The following is a 21610-nucleotide window of genomic DNA, read 5'->3' as shown; positions in this document are numbered from 1 at the left end:
ATTTTGGAATTTAAATTCTCAATGGCATATAATTGAGCATCTGATATGGATTATAATTTAAATAGGCTGTATAAAAATACAAAATTCATTGCAAACTTTCCAGAAAACATAGATTTACATTCTTCCATTAGTTAAAATATCTTACTTAATAAGCATATATATATATATGAGAAGCTGAAAATAAACTTCAGAAGCTGAAGTTTAGTGTAAAGCCTCAAAACTAAATTATTTTGGAATTCAAATTCTCAATGGCGTATAATTGAGCATCTGATATGGCTTATAATTTAAATAGGCAGAATAAAAATATGAAATCCTTAGCAAACTTTCCAGAAAACATAGATTTACATTCTTCCATTAGTTAACATATCTTACTTAATAAGTATTAATATATTTATACATAAAATAAGAGAAGCTGAAAATAAGTGTATGCCATCTATCTTTGTTTTTACCAATATTTATTTTGTTTTGTTTTATAGATGGCATTAATATTTTAGGTTTTTTTTTAGCACTTAAAGATGTTCTCATTTGGTACCAGTATAAATGGTTTCATTCATGTTGCTGTTAAAATGAAAACACAGTGTCAGAATGTGAATTTTTTTTTTTTTTTTGAGATGGAGTCTCTCACTGTTGCCCAGGCTGGAGTGCAATGGTGTGATCTTGACTCACTGCACCCTCCATCTCCTGGGTTCCAGCAGTTCCCCTGCCTCAGCCTCCCAGGTAGCTGGGATTACAGGCATGCACCAGGACACTCGGCTAATTTTTGTATTTTTAGTAAAGACAGGTTTTCACCATGTTGGCCAGGCTGGTCTCAAACTCCTGACCTCAGGTGATCTGCCCGCCTCGGCCTCCCAAAGTGCTGGGATTACAGGCATGAGCCACTGGGCCCGGCCCCAGAATGTAAATTTTTAAACCAAGATGTCCAATTTCAGGAAGATAAGATCATCTCTTTTGAAGACAATGATAAATATTCAAGTTTTCCTTCATGAAGGTAATGTTTTTTGTCTAAGTCAACATACTTTACCATTTTTAAACTTTTCTCATCATATTTTTGACAGCAGGTTTTCCAATTTTGACAGCTCTTTAAAAGTAATTTTAACAGCCGAGTGATTTCTCTTCTAAGCAAAGTCAGATTATGTGAAATGTCAATGTAAAAACTATACACTTTGACACATAATCATTTTTAGTTGAATTTACTTATTAATTTTGCTTGCTATTACTAATAAAACATAAGTGCTTAGCTAATTGTATTGCTTTTTGAAATGTTTTAAAGGTATTTAAAACTGTATCCTTTTTACTACAAAATGTCTCATTTCATCACAATCACTTGCCCTTCCAAAAATGAAGAAGTGGGGGGAGTAGCGGTACTAGGTTGATATAAGGCAACTGAAAAGCTGAGAAAAACGGCTACTGTAAAGTAAAAGTCAAGCCCACATTGGTCCTAACCAGGATTATGATAAGGACAGAAGAATCTGAATCCCCTGGGGATCTTTTACAAAATATATGCATGCCCCATCTCCCCATACCCATACAAAGCTATCGTCTCAACATTATAGCTGAGGTTCTGATATACTCTCAGGGTAGGAGGACAAATAATGTCTTTTCACCCACCCACCCTCTCACCCGGTAGAAAACCTTTGGAAACAATTTAAATAAAAATTGGCAACTACCTTGACTGAATTAATCCAATTAATTTCTTCAATTCTTTATTTCACAAAGTGTTGCAGGAAGTGAGGTAATTATATGACAAATATAAACAAATGGGTTGTCAGTTAAAAAATTATCTTCTCTTTATAATATTTGCTCTACTCGGCCTAGCGCGGTGGCTCACGCCTGTAATCCCAGCACTTTGGGAGGCCGAGGTGGGCGGATCACTAGGTCAGGAGATTGAGACCCTCCTGGCTAACACAGTGAAACCCCATCGCTACTAAAAATACAAAAATTAGCCAGGTGTCCTGGTGCATGCCTATAATCCCAGCTACCTGGGAGGCTGAGGCAGGGGAATCGCTTGAACCCAAGAGGCTGAGGTTGCACTTAGCTGAGATCTACTCTTCTGTTTCATGATCATTTACTTTGGTGATTGAAAGCTTGTTTTTTCACAAAATGACACTGTTATAATTGTAAAGAAAATAGTTTTACAGAAGAGGATTTCATTTTAGTTGATGATCCACCACTATGTGTTAAGTCTCATCTGACCATTCTTCCCTCCCCCCAACTTTTAACTTTTATTTTAAATTCTGGGGGTACATATGCAGGTTTGTTCCAAAGGTATATTGCATGAGATAATGGTTTGGAGTACAATTGAATCCATCACCCAGGAAGTGAGTATAGTACCCAATAGGTAGTTTTGCAACCCTTGCCCCCTCCCTCCATCTCCCTTCTAGTATTCCCCAGTGTTTATTGTTTCCATCTCTATGTCCACCTGTATTCAACATTTAGCTCCTACTTATAAGTCAGAACATGTGGTATTTGGTTTTCTGCTTCTACATTAGTTCGTTTAGGGTAATGGTCTCAAGCTGCATCATGTTTGTAAAGGACATGATTTTGTTCTTTTCATGCCTGTGTAGTATTCCATGGTGTGTGTATATCTGCTTTTCTTTATCCAATCCACCATTGACAGGCACTTGAATCTATCTTATTTCTTTGCTATTGTGACTAGTGCCGCAATAAACATATAGGTGCAGATGTCCTTTTAGTAGAATAATTTATTTTCCTTTGGGTACAAACCTAGTAATAGGATTGCTAGGTTGAATGGTAGTTCAACTGGTAGTTATTTGAAAAATCTCCAAACTGCTCTCCATAATGACTGAACTAGTTTACATTCCCACCAACAGTGTGTAAGCGCCCTCTGCAGCTCTGCCAACACTTATTACTTTTTTAACTTTTTAACAACATCCATTATGACTAGTATGAGATGATATCTTGTCGTGGTTTTGATTTGGATTTCTCTGAGGATGAGTAATGTTGAGCATTTTTTCATATGTTTGTTGGCCATTTGTGTGTCTTCTTATGAAAAGTGCCTGTTCAGGTCCATTGTCCACTTTTTAATGAGATTATTTGGTTTTTGCTTGTTGATTTAAGTTCTATATAGATTCTAGATATTAGGCCTTTGTCAGATGGATAGTTTGTGAATATTTTTTCTCATTCTGTAGGTTATCTGTTTACTGCTCTGAAAGCATCTCTGGCTGTGCAGAAGTTCTTTAGTTTAATTAGGTCCCACTTATCAGTTTTTGTTTTCATTGCTTTTGAGGATTTAGCCATAAATCCTTTGCCAAGGCTGATGCCAAGAAGGGTATTTCCTAGGTTTTCTTCTAAGATTTTTGTAGTTTGAGGATATGCCCACAATTCTAAGAATAAGAATTGTATCTAATGTATAGCATAAGAAATTCTATTAATAATGAACTAAGCAAAATTTAGTAAAGTCAGATTGTTTTTATTGGAAAAATTTATTCAGAAATATACACTGTCTCAAGTATTAAACTGGATTCTAAATCATCCTATGTCCCCAATTATTTCAGAAATACTCCATCTCACTTTAAATGAGTAGATTTGCCCTAGAAGAATTAGGAGCATTAATTACATTTGCAATATTATCAAGTAAACAAAGAAAAAAAAATGGGCCAGGCTCAGTGGCTCACACGTGTAATCCCAGCACTTTGGGAAGCTGATGCGCGCTGATCACGAGGTCAGGAGATCCAGACCTTCCTGGCTAACACAGTGAAACCCCGTCTGTACTAAAAATACAAAAAAAAAATTAGCCGGGCCTGGTATGGGGCGCCTGTAGTCCCAGCTACTCGGGAGGCTGAGGCAAGAGAATGATGTGAATGAGGCGGAGCTTGCAGTGAGTCGAGATCGCGCCACTGCACTCCAGCCTGGGTGACAGCGTGAGACTCCATCTAAAAAAAAAAAAAAAAAAGAAAAAAGAAATTGTAAGTTCATTTAAGCACTTCCTAGTACATAACATCACTGAGAGGTTGTACCCCATCGTCTGTCTCATTCCTTCTAATGTTGGGGAAGATATTACCACCATAAAATTTTTCCATTTTTCTGTTCAGATCTTGGTTCTACAAAATTCTTCCTATAAGGAATGATAATTTACCACCAACCAGTTTTCATTTGTTGGCCTTAGTGGTTCTAGCCAATTAAGCTATTTACTTTTCATGTTGCATTGTTCAAGTCTCTATGCTTCTCTGGGTTCATGCTTCATCCTTGATGTAGTCAGCTAGCATTCTTCATCCTTAAAGCTGATATCTGTGACTCCAGTTCTTTCATCGCTCTAATTTATCCTGAAGTCTGTGTCATCTTGCCTCCCTTCTCAGAAACCTTCAATGGCTCCCAGTTTTCCAAATGAATTAGGTACAAACTCCTTAATTTGAGTGAAAATTCACAGATGAAACTGGTAACTTGTATTGTCTCTGGAGGAGAACAGGTCACTTGGTGGGGCGTATGGGTAGACATTTTTACCAGATTCTCTGTTTCAAACATTTTGGAAGGTTTCTAAAAAGCTTATAGGACCTATGACCTGTGCCTTATAGGGCTAATACAGTTAAAAATACTTTGGTCAATTCAATTTATTTTCAACAACCAGACATGTCCCTCACTTCTCACTACCACTCCAGTGAAATTTCTCTCATTTTGGTCAGCTAAATCATTCTAGACCTCACTTTTCTTGATCTCATCATGGTTAGGCTAACTAAGCTCTTATTTTTGAAATTCTCTATTGGCCTTGCAATGCATGTTTCTCCTGCCTTTTCTCCTTCTACTCTAACTGCTTTGTCCTAGCCTTCTTCATAGGCCCTTCTTTCTTTGCTCATCCTGCAATTGGTACTTCCTATAGTTCCATCTTAGGTTTTCTTGCTTATTAGTTTATTCATTCTTCTTTTATGTCTTAATTTGGTTTTCGCCATTGCAGACTCTAAGTCAGCTACTTCAAGGCAAACAAATTATTTTGTTAGTAATGCCAGAAAGCACAAATTAAAAAAAGTGGAAAAAGCAAAACATAAAAGAATATGTTGATGAATGGGTTTCCACTGTGGGAAATTGAAGCCGAATCCATTAAAAACTCTTTAATGTATCATGTAGAGTATGTCTCAGAATTGTTCAACTGAGAGAGAACCTGAGCATTTATCCCCTGCCTCACATCCTCATTTCCTAAGGTTGCCCCTAAGGACATTAAATTCCGGCTACCCTGTATGATGTCTGAGCAAGCTCTTATGGCATTGGAAAAAGCTCTTGGTCAGAGAAGCAGAGATTAAGGAGTTTGAAGTAGAAACCTGCCAGTGATAATAAAAACTATCCATTGGGACTACAAATGAATTCAGAGAATATGAAGTGGAGTGTTACAAAGCTATATTGAATGATCTTATCCGTACTCATAGCTTCATATACTACCTATTTACCAATCACTATCAAACATTTATCTTCAGTCTAGATCTCTCTTTTGAGTTCAAAGGCTCATTGGGCTTTGACACCTGAATATCATAAGAGCATCTCAAAATCAACTTCACAAAACTAAGTTCATCATCTTTTATTTAATTGTTTTTTATCTCTAGAGGTCATCCTACACCTCTTCCTTTCCCTACTCACAATGCATAAAGTCAAAAATGTTATCAAATCAACCTCTACATTTATTTTAAAGTGACTTTAAATACCCCCATTGCCAGCACCTTAGTTTAGGCCCTCATCAAAAATGTTTAGCCTGGTCTACTACAAAAGCTATCTAGCTTGTTTTTCTGCTTTGAATCACCTCCTAGCAAACATCCTCACAGTTGCCAGAATTATTTCCATCAAGCATGTAAATTTGATCTTCTGACTTTGGCTGAAAATACTTCAATAGTTCATCATCCCCTCCAAGAAAAGTCCCAACCTTTTAAAATGGCCTCTGAGGATTTTCGTGATACTGCATTTGACTACTTCTCCAGCTTCATCTTCTGCCAAAAGCTCTTACACTTCTGCCACTTTGCATGTTCAGTCCCTGTATCTGGGGCTTTCTTACTCATCTTGTCTACCTCACTAATGTCTCCTCAGATGTTAAGACCTAGCTCACTTCATCCTCTTTGGGAAGCACTCCCTGGTTCTACCAAGTAGAATTCAGTTTGACAAACACAGGAACAAAAATGGCATGTTAAGAAAGGCTGAACAGAAAAATTTCAAATCCAAAGGAGCCTGCCTGGATACAAAATCCAACATTTCAGTCAAGCAGAAGGGAAGAGAGACAGAAGAAAGCACTTGCCAGCCAAACCCTCCTGCTTTAATAAACTTTACTAGAAGCCTTGCCTAGTGACTTGTACTTAAATTTATTTGGCCACAACTGTGTCACAAGGTCGCAGCTAGCTGTAAGGGACAAAGAGTTTATACAGATTTTTTTAGCTGTGTACCTATCCATAACAAAATTGGGACTCTGTTAACAAGGAATGTGAGAATAACGGATTTTTTTACTGTTAACTATCAGTATCCTTAGCAATAGTTGGCATTAATACATTCTCATTATAAATGAGGAAATTAAGATGTAAAGAGCTTAAGTAATCTGTCCAAGATCACAATTAATAATTAAAGATTAAACCTAAACAGTCTAACTCTAGTATCATTGCTCACAACACTCATACATTTACTTATTATAAATATTTAGGTTCTAATACTTTGGTCATCCTAACCCTTAAAATAGGGATGGTATGTTTGTTCCTTAGCATCACTACATTGCCCAGAACAGGATTTTACACACAGAAAATTTTCAATATATGTTTCTGGATGATGATGAAGATGCTTAAAAATGGTTTCATTTCTTAAAATAACTGAAAACTTTCATGTTAACACATGCACGTTTATTTGATTGAATTCATGTGTGTATTTCTGCTCCCTTCAAAAATCTTATTAATGACAAGAACAATGGGATGGGAGAAGAAAAAGATAAAATACACGAATGAAATTTAGAAATTGCGGATAGAATAAGATGGTAGAAACTGACTTGCTAGACTACATGCGATGACATCCAACGGAGCCAAAGCCAAGATGAGTTGCTGAACTAAAAAGAGACTGGTTAATTAAAACTTTGCATACCTGCTTCCTCTTCTTTGCTGACAACCCAGGTTGGCCCCTTCTTGTAGGAGATTACAAGCTTCCTCCATAAAGAATACTAAAATTTGGGGATCTCCCACAGAAGTGCCCTAATCTCTACATTATCAACTGATGTGAAACTTACTACACAGTACTCCCCAAATATACAGTTTTCAAACAGCATTTTGGTGCTCTTTAGTTCTCAAATATTAATGAAAAGCCTCTGATATTAAATATAACAATTGCAACAAAAAGAGAAAAGTATTACTGAGAGGAAACAAAATCAAGGAGAAGAAAATTTTACTATAATTAATATCCTGAGAAAGATGAGTGAATATTTGCACCAATAAACCAAAAATGAAACATTCAGAGACCAAGAAAGAGTTCTTTGAAATATTAAGTAAGACAGCCAAAATAGACTATCATAAATTCAAGTTGGGATGTATGTGAAAGAAGAAAAAGTCTTTCAGAAAGCATAACAAAAAGGCAAAGAGATAGAAAATAGTTTTTTAAAAATCCTAAAATCAAAGAGTCAGCTCAGGAAAGTAAAAAACCAAATACCAGGATTTCCAAAACAGGAAAAAAAAAAAAAAAAAAAAAAAAAAAAACCATGAGAGAGGAAACTATCAGGGCAATAATACAAAAATATTTCCCAGACCCAAAACACATGAGGTTCCAGATTGAAAGTCACAACCAAGAATTCAGCAAAATTAATGAAAAAGTCCCACACCAAAGACACATAGCATTACAGAACTTTAAAATGGGAACAAGAGACACTATGGACTACTAGAGTAGGGGTGGGGGATTTGGGTTAAAAACTCCCTGTAGGGTACTATGCTGATTCTCTGGGTGATGGGATCGGTACTCCAAACCCCAATATCTTGCAATCTTCCCATGTAACAAATGTGCACATGTACCCCCTGTATCCAAAATAGAATTTAAAAAGAAAAACATACCATAAAAAATCCTAAAAAAAAAAGAAAAGAATCAACCCCGAGAAAGAAAAAGACAGAAAATAGAGCATATACAAAGAATCAAGAAACATAATCATATCTAACATCTCAATAGCATCACTCTTAAGAGAAGGTGGAAAACAATGGAGCAATAATTTTCAAATTCTGTGAGAAAATTATTTCCAACCAGACTATCAATTAAGAGCAAGAGTAGAATACAATCATTTTTAAGTAATTCCTAAAATAATTTTTCTTCTAGGTAGCCATTCATTCTCAGGAAGGTATTAAAGGATATACTCCACCAAATGAAAGAAATAAGTCAATGAATATCAAATCCAGGAAAAAGGGAATCACATTTAGGAAAGAGAAAAAAGTAATTTCCAGGATGACGAAAAAATGTTTGAGAAAAACAGCTACACAGTAGGCCTTGGCTAAACTAAACAAAACTGCCATAGAGCAGTCTGGGCCAGAAGAATAGATATCTTCAGAAAACAATAATAAAAAAAGGAAATACATATGTTATGTAATGTATTTGGGTATAAAAAACAAGATTTATAATTTTGGTAGAAAGTTGGCTCTGAAATAACAATGGTCACATAAAAAAAAACAACTAAACAAATGTAAAGTAATGTAATTATGAACCAAGCTCTAGGAAAAACAAAAAGTTGTATTAGAAAGTAAATGCAATCAAGGGGGCATACACTTAAAAGCTATACACGGTATTTGTAGTCAAAAACATATAACCACAGAATGTTGTTTTTTTAATAGCTTTATTGAGATAAAATTCATGTATCATAAAATTCATCCTTTTGAACTGTACAGTTTGGTGTTTCCAGTATACAAATAGAGTTGTGTACAACCATCATCACTATCTAAATTTAGAAAATTTTCATCACTACACAAGGAAACCCACACCCACTAGCAGTCACTCCTTATTCCCTCCTCTTCTGACTCCTAGCAGCCAGCAATATATTCAGTATCTCTACAGATTTACCTATTCTTGACATTTCTCATAAATGGAATTATGTAGTGTGTGGTCACTTGTGGCTGGCTTATTTAAGCACAATGCCTTCATGTTCATACATGTTGAACATTGAGACACTGATACATAGCATATATCAGTACTTCATTTATTTTTATTGCGAAATGTTTCTTTGTGTGGATACACCATATTTTGTTTATCCATTCATCTGTTGATTAACATTTGTGCTGTTTCCACCTTTTGGCTACTATAAATAATGTTTTTGTATGAACATATATTTTTATTTCTTTTGGGTACAACCTAGGAGTGGAAATAATGAGTGCCATGATAATTCTATTTTTAGTATTTTGAGACATTTTCAAGTTGTTTTACAAAGTAGTTGTATGACTTTACAGTCTCACCATCGATGTGTGAGTTTCACTTTCTCTACATCCTTCTCAATATTGTTATTGTTTGTTGTTATTGTTGTCTTATTTTAGCCATCCTTGTATGTGTGAAGTGATAATTCATTATGGTTTGATTTGCATTTCCCTAATGACTACTTATGTTGAAGATTGAGTATCTTTTCATGTGCTTATTGGCCATTTGAATATCTTCTTTGGAGAAAGGTCTATTCAAATCTTTTGCCCATTTTAAAATTGAGTTACTTGCTACTGTTGAGTTGTAAAAATTCTTTACATATTATGGATGCATGTTCCTTAACATATATGTAATTGATAAATATTTTCTCCTAACCTGTGAGTTAGAATATACTTTTAACCTAAAAATTTAATATAGTTATATTTTTAGACTAGAGTTGTAGGAAGTGATTTTATGTGTGTGTGTGTGTGTGTCTGTGCAATGTTTGTATGAATTTAGGGAGGATGTTTACTCATCCAGCAACTAATTGCACTTGAGAACAGAACAACAGCAAATATAATTCGTGCAATTGAGTGCTATGATGGTTTTCATATTATAGCACAAATAATAGGAAGTTGGTGAAAAGAAATTTTCAATGCCCCTTAGTATCTCCACATTCTCTACTCTGTCTCCTCTACTCCTTATCCCTTACTCTACAGATGTATAGTAGGGAGCTGAGAGAGAAAAAAAATTGGATATTTCTTAAAATGCTACAGTAATGACAAAATAAAAATTATCTACTAAAACTGAAGAATTAAACAAGTAAATTTGACAAATCAGGCTTTTTCAGATTAGCTTTTGAGAAAAGGATTTTCCTCAAAATGTCCTAGAGGAATACAACTTCTTCATGAAAAACATTCTCAGGCTTTTAGGAGGAAACAAGAGTCCAAAAAAATTAATAAATAAAGATTTTTATGATGGAAACTACCAAAAATCTAGGACAGTGTCCATAGTCTAGTATCAGTAATCTAGGACAGTATCCATAATCTAGGATATGCTTACTTTATGTTAACAGAATATGTTTATCAGATGATGGTTCTTGAAATCCTCTTGAATCTTACCATTAAAGATCATAGGAAGAAATATTATGTTTTTATGTGCCTATATTCATTTTTAATTTTCCAATGTAAAATTGCATTTATTAAACATCCATGTATTAAGTACTTATTATGCACAAGCACAAAATGTAAGCATGAACAAAGTAGACACAGCCCTTGCTGAAGTCCCATCCCTGGGGTCATGCCTAGCAGAGTAGACCCTTATTAATGTTCATACCTTGGGGACTAAATTATATGATGTGTATACAAAACAGAATAAGACAAACAACCTGCCTGCAGTAGGTTTAAAGTGTGTCTGTAATAAGAGGCTGAAAAACAAAAAGATACTTTTACAAAGTATGATAAGTGTCGGAGTACGGGTAAGTATATCACTTAACAAAGCCTGCAGTTGATGGAAGTGGTCAGAAGACTATTAAGAAAGTATCTGTGCTGAGACTTCAAGAACAGAGGTTGAAAAGTTGAAAAAGGAGTAAAAGTACACAGCACCAAGGGAAAAGTAGGTGCAAAGGTCTAGAGGGGAAAGCCATATTCACACATTCCTTCCAACTATACATATTTTTTTTCTCTTCTTTTCTTTTCTTTTTTTTTCAGATGGAGTCTCGCTCTGTCGCCAGGCTAGAGTGTGGTGATGCTATCTCGGCTCACTGCAACCTCCACCTCCCGGGTTCAAGCGATTCTCCTGCCTCAGCCTCCTGAGTAGCTGGGATTACAGGCGCCCGCCACCACGCCCAGCTAACTTTTGTATTTTTAGTAAAGACGGGGTTTCACTATGTTAGCCAGGATGGTCTCCATCTCTTGACCTCGTGATCCATCCACCTCAGCCTCCCGAAGTGCTGGGATTATAAGCGTGAGCCACCGCGCCTGGCCCCAATTATAATTTCAAGTATTTCAAACAAGGAAGTTTATCACTGACAAAATAAGATTAAAAAAACAAAATTATTGACATCATGGGGCATGCATTCTAGTGAGACAGACAAAAATGAACAAGATAAATAAATAAAATATATGTTAAATGGTAAGAAGAAAAATAAAACAGGAAAGGTCATAAGAAGCACGAAGGAGTGGTTGAATATTTGATAGTGGGTTAGGGAATGATGCATTTGTATCTGCATAAAGGAAAGGAGGAGCGTGTGTATGTTAGTATGCCTGTGGAAGGGGACGTGTTCCCAGCAGAGAGAACAGGAAATGCAAGTTTCCTGAGGCATGAACAGTTTGCGTATCCTTGAGAAAAGGAGGCAAAAGTGGCCAGACAGAGCAATGAAGAGACAGAGTAAATGAACACAAAGTCAGAAAGGTAAGTAGGGACTTGCCTATCTTTGCAATGATTTTGGCTTTTATCCTGAGTGAGATGAGGAAAAAAAAAATAGTGAGAAGTCGAGCAGAAAAATGACATTACCCACTTCAGATTTGAACATTTACTTGCTACCAGTTGAATAAAACCTAAAGAATGAGAAGAGCAGAAAGTAGCCTATTGTAAAAATCCAGGCAAGATATGATGATGTGGACTTGGGTTGTGGCAATAACAGTAGACGTAAAAAGTAGATGAATTTGGGATACATTTTGAAAACAGCCACCAACAAAAGCTAATGATAAAGTGGGTGTTTAAGTGAAAGTTAGCAGCCAAAGACTAGTCTAAAGAATTTTGGTCACTTTGGGAGGCCGAGATGGGTGGATCGCAAGGTCAGGAGATTGAGACCAGCCTGGCCAACATGGTGAAACCCCGTCTCTACCAAAAATATGAAAAATTAGCCAGGCATGGTGGCGCACGCCTGTAATCCCAGCTACTCTGGAGGCTGAGGCAGGAGAATCGCTTGAACCCGGGAGGCGGAGGTTGCAGTGAGCCAAGATCGGGCCATTGCACTCCAGCCTAGGCAGGAAGAGCAAAACTCCGTCTCAAAAAAAAAAAAAAAAAAAAAAAAAAAAGAGAGAGACAGAATTTTGGTTAGAGCAATTGGATGAAAGGAATTGCCTACCCCTGCAAAGGAAAAGACTAGGCGAAGACCAGGTTATGGGAGAATAACAGTAAGTTAATTCTACACATGTTGAACTTAAGATGTGTATTTGCTACCCAAGCAGAGGTATTTTATTGGCAGCTATAAATAGTGGAATTTAGAAAAGAAATATGACACATTTATATATTTATTTATATATGTGTATAGATTTATATATTTTATACTTCTATATTTTACATAGAGTATGAATATTTTATATATTATCATATTAAATATACTTACATATTATATCAGTGTATCAATGACAAAGTCTTGAGAAGAATGAAATTCAGCAAAATAATTATTAAGCATAGAAAAAAGAATTGATGTGAGTTCTGAGCCTAGAGACTCTATGACATTTAGAAGCCAAGGAGATTGGGAGGAAATTAAAAAATCTAAGAGGGAGCATCCAGAGAGATAGGAAAAACATAACAACGGTGTAAATTTATTGTTTTGGAAGCCAAGCAAAGAAAGTGTTTCAAGTAGACAGTAATCCATTTTGTCAAATGTTAACAAGGGTTCAAGTAAGATGAGGACTGAGAATTTAGCAACATGGAGTTCATGGGTAACCTGGATAAAAGCAATTTTAGTCGAATTTTGGTGCTGAAAATTCCTTTGGAATAGATTCAAGAAAGAATAGAAGGAGAGAAACTGGAAACTTTATGCAGAAGCATCTTGATATGGTTTGGCTGTGTCCCCATTCAAATCTCACCTTAAATTGTAATAATCCCCATGTGTCAAGGGTGGGTCCAGGTGGAGATAATTGAATTATGGGGGCAGTTTCCCACATACTGTTCTCGTGGTAGTGAATAAGTCTCACGAGATTGGATGGTTTTATAAATGGGAGTTCCCCTGCACAAGCTTTCTTGCCTGCCACCATGTAAGATGTGACTTTGCTCCTCATTCACCTTCCACCATGATTGTGAGGCCACCCCAGCTGTGTGGAACTGAGTCAATTAAACCTCTTTCCTTTCTAAATTACCCAGTCTTGGGTATGTCTTTATTAGCAGTGTGAGAACAGACTAATACACATCTTTTTTCAATAAATTTTGTTGTAAATGAAATTAGAGAAGAGGAAAGATTGTAAAGGGAATAAGCTGGAAAGGGAAGTGGAGTCAAAAGGGAGGCCTTTAGAAATGGAAGTGACAGAAACATGTTTACGTGCTATGTGAATCATCCAGTAGTAAGGGCAGTATATGTAGCGTAAGAAAGAAAAATATGTGTGGTGCAAGAAAGAGAGTTGCTGGATTTACATCTTAAGGTAGGCGGGAAGGGAACTGAATCCAGCACAAAAATTGAAGGCTACACTTTGTTAGGAGTATGGAAATGAAAGTTCAAGTAAATTAGCACAAGTATACTTAGGTCAATAGATGTCGATACAGAAGCTCATGCGAAGTCTCTCCTGTTTACTTCAAATTTCTTAGTAAAGTGGAAATCATGGTCAACCACTTAGGATAAGGATGGGGAAAGAGGTGTAGGAGATTTGATGGGAGAAGGTATAAAATAATCATCTAAGTTTTAGGAAGGAGCTAGAAAAATATAGTGTGATTGCTAGACAGCATAAAGGAGCCACTTGAGATGAGTGATTCTAAACTTAAGGTGAGGTCAGCATTGTTTTGTATTTTTTCTCCAATTGCATTCAGTTGCAAGTGGGCAAATGCAGAGTAGGTTGAGGGTTTGATTTAACAAAAGTTATATTTTATCCAGTTGATCATAATGAAGCAAGAGTAGAGCAAAGAGGTAGGCGGTGTTTTCAGGGAAGTGATTATTGTTGACATAAGGTCTTTAGAAGGTCACACCAGTTTAAAACCAAGACACATTTTAAGCATCTTTGGATTTCATCAGTTGCTGTGTTTTATGGTATTCCTTGATAGCATGGGGAAACAGCATAGGGGGAAAAAAACACAGTTTGATGTGAAACTTTTCATTTTGTGGTTCTAAAATAGTTGCTTTTATTCTCCGCAGGTCTTTAAATGGATTCATTTGAAAATCAGAGTCCTCCATTATCAATAAAAGTATTATGATGTGGCTGCTCTAGAATAGCAGAAAGTTAAAAAACAAACTTAAAATCAGACAACCAGTAATATTAAATTTTCTCCGGGTGCACATTATTTAGTTCCTCATTAACTTAATTGTTTTCCAGTAAAAGTGAAGTGCACAATATGAAAATTAAATAATATTACATGTCAGAGTTTAAAAGAAATATTCATTTAACATTGGAATAGGTTTTTTCCCCAGGAAATCTTGTTCATTTATTTTGTGAGAATTTTTGTTTGTCGCTATTTGTTCAAAACATAATACAATTGTGAGACCCAGTGCCTGCTGGCAAAGTTGGAATAGCTGTCAGCAGGAAATGGCAAACTAATAATAAGTGCTGGTAAAATATTTATATTATAGTTTACTGGGAAGCTGAGTGTAGTTTTGTATTTCATTAGTGCTTGAGGCAGTACATAGTAACATTTTTTTTTTTGCTCCAAAATAAGTGGATAGAATTCTAAATGGTATAGTAACTTATCTTTCAACTATCAGCTGGGGAAAGAAAGAACTAATAATAATAAAGTCCTTTACTAGTTGAAATTTAAGAAATTTTAAACGAGGTCTATAGGGCAGTAATTAGCAGCATCTCACAGTCAGTGTTATTGGACACTAGACTGCTGGATCAGCCACTTCTGTATGCAGACTAGTAATTTAGCTCTGGTTCATAATTTTCAATAACAGAGCTATTCAAGAGGGAGGGGTGGTCTTAAACTACCAGAGGACTCAGAAGTATGGTGATGTTCAAGTACAACACTATGTTTATGTACTCCCCAAAGTGTATCAAAGCTCAGATCCAGAGAAATAAAAGAAAAGTCAAACAAAACAAGCATTAGACTGCGTAAAATAAGGTATGGACAAGGCAAACAGGTGAGGCATTGTTTAGGTGGCTAAGGTAGATCAATATCTATTCTTACAAGCCAGGAATCCTGCCTGCTTTCCTCTGGCGCTCTGCAGATCATCTTACGGCTTGCAGACAGACTGTCGCCTAACCCCAACTGACAGACAACCTATTTCACCCCTGTACAAATCATACCCATCTTCTTTCTTTGTGGTTCACTGAGGGGAGAAAAAATATAACTGTCAACATAAAATAATACCAGATTGGTTTTACTACACTTTAACATCCCTGTTCATTAACTTAATTTCAAAAGGACTGGTCCCCAATTTCTCTTTTATATATAATTTTAACCTACTTAATAAAATGCAAGTGTATTGTGAATATAACTGTTTGTGTGTGTGTGTGTGTGTGTGTGTGTTTGTCTGTGTGTGTTTGGCTAAAAGAAGTGGCCAAATTTATCCAAATAGTGAACATACGTAAGTGTCTGGCACATAATAATCGCTAAATAAATACTAGTTTAAAAATAAAATAAATAAACATTAGTTATATCAATATTTCTATCATAATAATTTTGAAAACCTAACAGAGGAATGCACAGAGAATCAATTAGAGACTGAGGGAATAAGGGTTTATACGCACCTTGTATTTCATAGAACAGGGAGGCAATATTTCAGCAATTTTGAACACATGTTTAACAAGCTCATGATAGCTAAACTTTGAACAAACATGAGAAAGTCAGATTGTTGGTGGGGCGCAGTGGCTCATGCCCATAATCCCAGCACTTTGGGGGGCCGAGGCGGGTGGATCATGAGGTCAGGAGTTTGAGACCAACGTGGCCAACCTGGTGAAACCCCGTCTCTACTAAAAATACAAAAATTAGCCAGGTGTGGTGGGGGGTGCCTGTAATCCCAGCTACTTGGGAGGCTGTGGCTTGAACCCGGGAGGTAGAGGTTGCAGTGAGCTGAAATCGCGCCACTGCACTCCAGCTTGGGTGACATAGCAAGACTCTGTCTCAGGGCGGGGGGAAAAAAGAAAGTCCAATTGTTTATGTTTTGTGACATAGTAACGTCAATTTGTCTTGTTCTGATAAAGTACAAATTTATGTATAACTTTTTGTAACCTTTTAGTTTTTCTGTACAGTGTTCTAATTCCAATGGGAAAACCAAATACAGGAAATTGTTCTCTAAAAATGTATAACACTTTTGCTCTATCAAAAATAGTCAAAATATAAAATCTGTTTTCTAATTCCATCAAATTTAGATTATCCAGACTTCCATGCAAATTAATCATTATATAAATATTTTACTTTACATATATAATTCTTATTGAGTTTCTTTTCACTTCATAGGTTTAACTAAAGAGAATACCTTCTACTGATGTAACAGCAATGGTAATTGGTATAAAGGCAAAAGCATGTGCAAAGGAGAAATCACAACAAAGGCCACTTATTGAAATAAAACCTATTAAAAATGTACATTATCCTCTTGATTCTGCTTTGGCAAATGGGGGCCATTTTGTATGTTTCATTCTTGAGCATAGAATTTACTGAGACTTACCATTTTTCATGTTTGTGTAATAACTTAGATTTTAATATATTCAGATTTTCATACAGAAACCCATCCTGTTCTTTTTTTGTCCTCTGAGTTGACTAATAAAAGGAATGGCAGTTTTAACATCATATTAAAAGTACTAAAAGCCAAAACTAAGATCCTTATTATAGTGGTTGTAAAAACTTTGGCTGAATCTTGAAAGTGGAAAAGGTCATATTTTGCAGACTGGTGCATATCATATCACTAGATAGTAAGAATATGTCTTTTCATTGCTGCTACAGTTTTCTGCTTACCTTTTTATGGTGGAAGAAATGTAATTTACTTGTCAGATTGAAACATTTGATATAAATCCTTATCCTATCTTTTGAACTAGTATTTCTGAAACACTACATTATAAACAAATATCATGTTTAATTAAACAACTACTTTACTCCTAACTGAACAAGAGGGTATGATTATATTAATTTAATAAAAAGCTTTTGACTAGAATTTAAAAAAACATTTCAACTCAGCAAGAAATATGATTTTACTAATTTAAAATTGAGCTATATGATCAGAATGTAAACAGAATATTTTAAGTTCCTGTCTTCAAGATATAAAAAATACTTTTAAGAGAGAAAACTAATAAGATTTAGAAGATATTCATTTACATTAAAATTTCTTCTTCAACCTACTAATCTACATGCAAAACTAAATTTAAAAGTCAATTAACAGTTCACTATAATGCTAAAAACCTATTTTAAATATAAACAATTGTGATTTTACCAAGAGATTCATTTTTCTTTTGTGTGTGTGACTGATTTTTCACAGCTAAAGCTTAGCAATTCTGAAACATGTTAGTACAATTCTAATAAGAATAAAAATAAGGTGAGGTAAATTGAATAATTAGGCACACTATACCGTATATGATTATGTGTGTGTGTGTTTATGTGTGTATGCATAAAAATATATATTTAAATATATAATGTACATGATTCTTTGAATTCCAGGAATTAATTTTATCTTCAGACTTCAACATAGAAAATAATAGATTTACTGTAATCACTCAAAGCCACTTAATGCTGAAGGTCAATTCATTTTTACAAATTTGTGGGAATAAAGAAAAACCAAAAACTGGATTCTGACCTAATCAAAGCCATAAGTTGTTTGTTAAAATATGCATTGCTAGCATCCTAATTATCTCTATTTGTGTTTGTTTAGTTAGATAAACAAATGAAACATTTCTGATCCAGATGTGACTATCTCAGCGCTGTCATTTACCTTTCAAGGATCATAGAATTTTTGCTTTTAACACATTCCCTTGAGTACCTACGTGTTTTCATTATAAACTAGAGTTGAGAAAACATGTCAGATGCTAAATTCAAAATCCACCATGCAGGAAACATGGAGAAATATAACAACTGTTTTGGAAGAAAATGTCTTGAAGTCAACTTACATAAAATCCTAAATGATTTGCCAATGAATTTTAATTAACATTTACATTACACACAACTTCAAATGCTAAAATAATTTCTGCATAACTACTATAGAATTGAAATTATTTTTGACAAATATGCATAAAACCTTAAGCTGAAATGTATATGTTCTATAATATAAAAGTTTAATGATAAAAATGTAGAATTTATAATGCCGATTTAAGATATGAAACAAAAGAAATAAAGTAGTTTAAAGTCTAGAGCACTTAAACCCTTTTAATACTTAACACATGATATAAAATCTCATACAGAACATGCAGCACTCAAGGTAATAATTTTGTATATGAATATTCAATAACTTGTATGTCCAAGTAGACTGAAAACTTTAAAATTCTTTAACAGGCTCACATTCGCTAGAGTAGATGAAAATGAAAATTTTACGATGGTTGTGTAAAGGGTAAAATAACTCAAATTGTTTTCTCAGTAAATGCTACCACATCTTCATCAATCAACTGCTATTCTTAAATATCAAGAAAATAACTTGTATAATACAAACAATATAGTCAACAAAAAGCTATATACAAAGATAGCTAATGCAAGATCACTGAGCTTATAATACATAAGGCCAAAAATATTTCATCCCAGTTCTTTTTATTTTTTATTTTATTTTATTTATTTATTTATTTGAGATGGAGTCCCACTGTGTCACCCAGACTGGAGTGCAATGGCATGATCTTGGCTCACTGCAACCTCCACCTCCTGGGTTCAAGCAATTCTCCTGTCTCAGCCTCCCGCGTAGCTGGGGCTACAGGTGTGCACCACCTTGCCCAGCTAATTTTGTGTGTGTGTATTTTTAGTTGAGACGGGGTTTCACCATGTTAGCCAGGATGGTCTCGATTTCCTGACCTTGTGATCCGTCCACTTCGGCCTCCCAAAGTGCTGGGATTACAGGCACACACCACCGCATCTGGCCTTATCCCAGTTCTTATGTGGCTACATACTTAATATATTTCTACTTAACAAAATAGTAAAATGCCATTTTTTACTATTTAATGTATATTTGCAAACATTTTCTCTCACAGAATTGTTCAATTAAAAATATGCATTTCTAATTAAATAACTAATGTATTTATGAACATTCATTTTCAACTTTTATTTATTTAATAAAGGCTAAAGTTGGTTAGGCTGGCATAAAAAACAAAATTATGATGTTACAATGAACTCTCTAGCCTCCTTTAATTTGCAAACAGGTAATTATATGAAAAATTATAAAATGCATGCACTAAAAAGCAGTTGGAAAAAAACAAATATTTTATATAAGAATTAATAGTGCTATAATCACTAGAAGCAGAAGTATGTACATGAATGTATAATCATCTAAAGAATGTCAATCTTTTGTTTCTTTTATTTCAGGAGGCCATAATCCCAAACAAATTAATGCAGTGATAGAAAACCAAATACCTCACGTACTCACTTCTATGTGGGAGCTAAACATTGAACACATATGGGAACAATAGACACTGCAGACTACCAGAGTGGGGAGGTCGAGATGGGAGTGTGGATGGAAAAACTACCTATTGGGTACAATGCTCACTGACTGGAGGCAATGTATTCATGTAACAAGCCTGCACATGTACCCTGTACCGAAAATAAAAGTTGAAAAAAAAGTCTTTAACTTCACTTAATAACTAAAATGGCCATTTAAAACTGTATCTAAATATGTATCACAAACATGTCTTTTATTAAATATGGATAATAAGGGATATTTTAATCTCTATTAAAAATATCAAAATATAATGCCAGTTTCATATATGCATATTAATTATGAGAAAATAATTAAAATAGTGATTTCTTACAAAGTAGTATCAATATAGTTGAAAATACTCTCAGTGGAAAGGAAACCATTAAATATACACAACGAGTCTCCAACAGATTATTGGTATTAATAAGTAAATTGTTTAGAGTGCTATTTGTTATTATTTGGAATTTATTAGGCAAAGTGTCAAATAAGCAGGCAATATGAATCTCTTTCCTTAACCATAATGAGTAAACACTGTCATGGAAACATTAAAAGTCTTTCATTTGGAAAGACCCCAAGAATTCATGAGCTGAAAGGGTTTTAATATAGGGAACTCTCATCAGTAAAGTGGAACTTTTGAAAAAGCATATTTTGGAGAATCATAGTAAAGTTTTACATTGTTTGTAAAGTTTAACGTCACAGCAATTCTTCATAGAAAAAAATCTTAAATCTAAGATTGTCAATCCACTTCTTTTCGAGTATTGTAGTCACTTAGAAATAGCAGTTAAAATTGAAAAAAAACCTCTTAAAAGCATTGACTTTTATACTTCATTCCAACTAAACAATTCACTATTTACTTATTTCACAGTTAATCTCTATGCTAAATCTGAAAGTATGCTCTCAATAACAACTATAATAAAAGAATGTTGGGATAATGACACAAGATGATAAAAGCAAGGAAATGCTCATTTAAGGATATAATCTCTGTCATATATACGAGCTTTAAGTAGAAATGAGGTAGGATAAATGCTTCACAAAAAGTTATCCAGAGAATTCCTATAGAACAAAGACTTATCAAAAGGTGATACTTTCCAATCCTTGTTGACAAAGACTTTCTAATATAAGATATATTGTTCTATAAAACTATGTGCAAATTAATTTCCTAGGCAAGAGTTCCTCACCATCTTTAGGTAACTGAAAATTTATAGAAGAATCGTAAAACTAATTTTGTTAGTGGCAGTGTTTGGTTAATTAGTAGGGCAGAAGTAATGCTGTGTGGTCAGCAAACCCATTTTTTTTTTCCTTCAGATAGGATCTCACTCTGTCACCCAGGCTGAAGTGCAGTGGCACCATCATGGCTCACTGCAGCCTTAACCTCCCGTGCTCAAGCAATTTTCTCGCCTCAACCTCCTGAGTAGTTGGGTCTACAGGCGCATGTCACCACGTCTGGCTAGTTTTTTAATTTTTATTTTTTGTAGACACATGGTCCCACTATGTTGCTCAGGCTGGTTTCAAACTCTTGGATGCAAGGTATCCTCCCATCTTTGCCTCTCAAAGTGCTGGGATTACAGGCGTGAGCTACTGTGCCAGCCCATTTCTTTTTCCTCCAAAATACACAGCTAAATTATATTCCCACACCTCCCCTGCAATTAGGTTGGGCCATGTGGTTGACTTCAAGTTAATGGGATTAAGGAATTATCCTGCTGGCTCTCCAATAAGCTTTCTTCCCTCCTTACCCAATGTTGTGTATCCTTTGGAAGACTCCAAAGCCCTAAAGAATGGCAGAGTCACTTCCAGGGTTCCTGAATGACTAAATGG

General features: G+C 35.0%; 1 long non-coding RNA gene across 1 annotated transcript in view; it reads left to right on the top strand.

Moving 5' to 3' along the window:
• The window catches only part of LINC02281 (long intergenic non-protein coding RNA 2281), a 30070-nt gene extending 13288 nt beyond the window's left edge, over positions 1 to 16782 (top strand). Inside the window, exon 4 of the long non-coding RNA NR_187181.1 lies at positions 16657 to 16782. This is a non-coding gene — a long non-coding RNA (long intergenic non-protein coding RNA 2281). The remainder of the gene's footprint in view (positions 1 to 16656) is intronic.
• The last annotated feature ends 4828 nt before the right edge of the window (positions 16783 to 21610 follow it).

The sequence above is a fragment of the Homo sapiens genome, chromosome 14, assembly GCF_000001405.40.
Source record: "Homo sapiens chromosome 14, GRCh38.p14 Primary Assembly".
NCBI classification, from domain to species: domain Eukaryota; kingdom Metazoa; phylum Chordata; class Mammalia; order Primates; family Hominidae; genus Homo; species Homo sapiens.
Note: the sequence above shows the minus strand (reverse complement) of the source record. Positions and strands in the feature narration are given on the sequence as shown.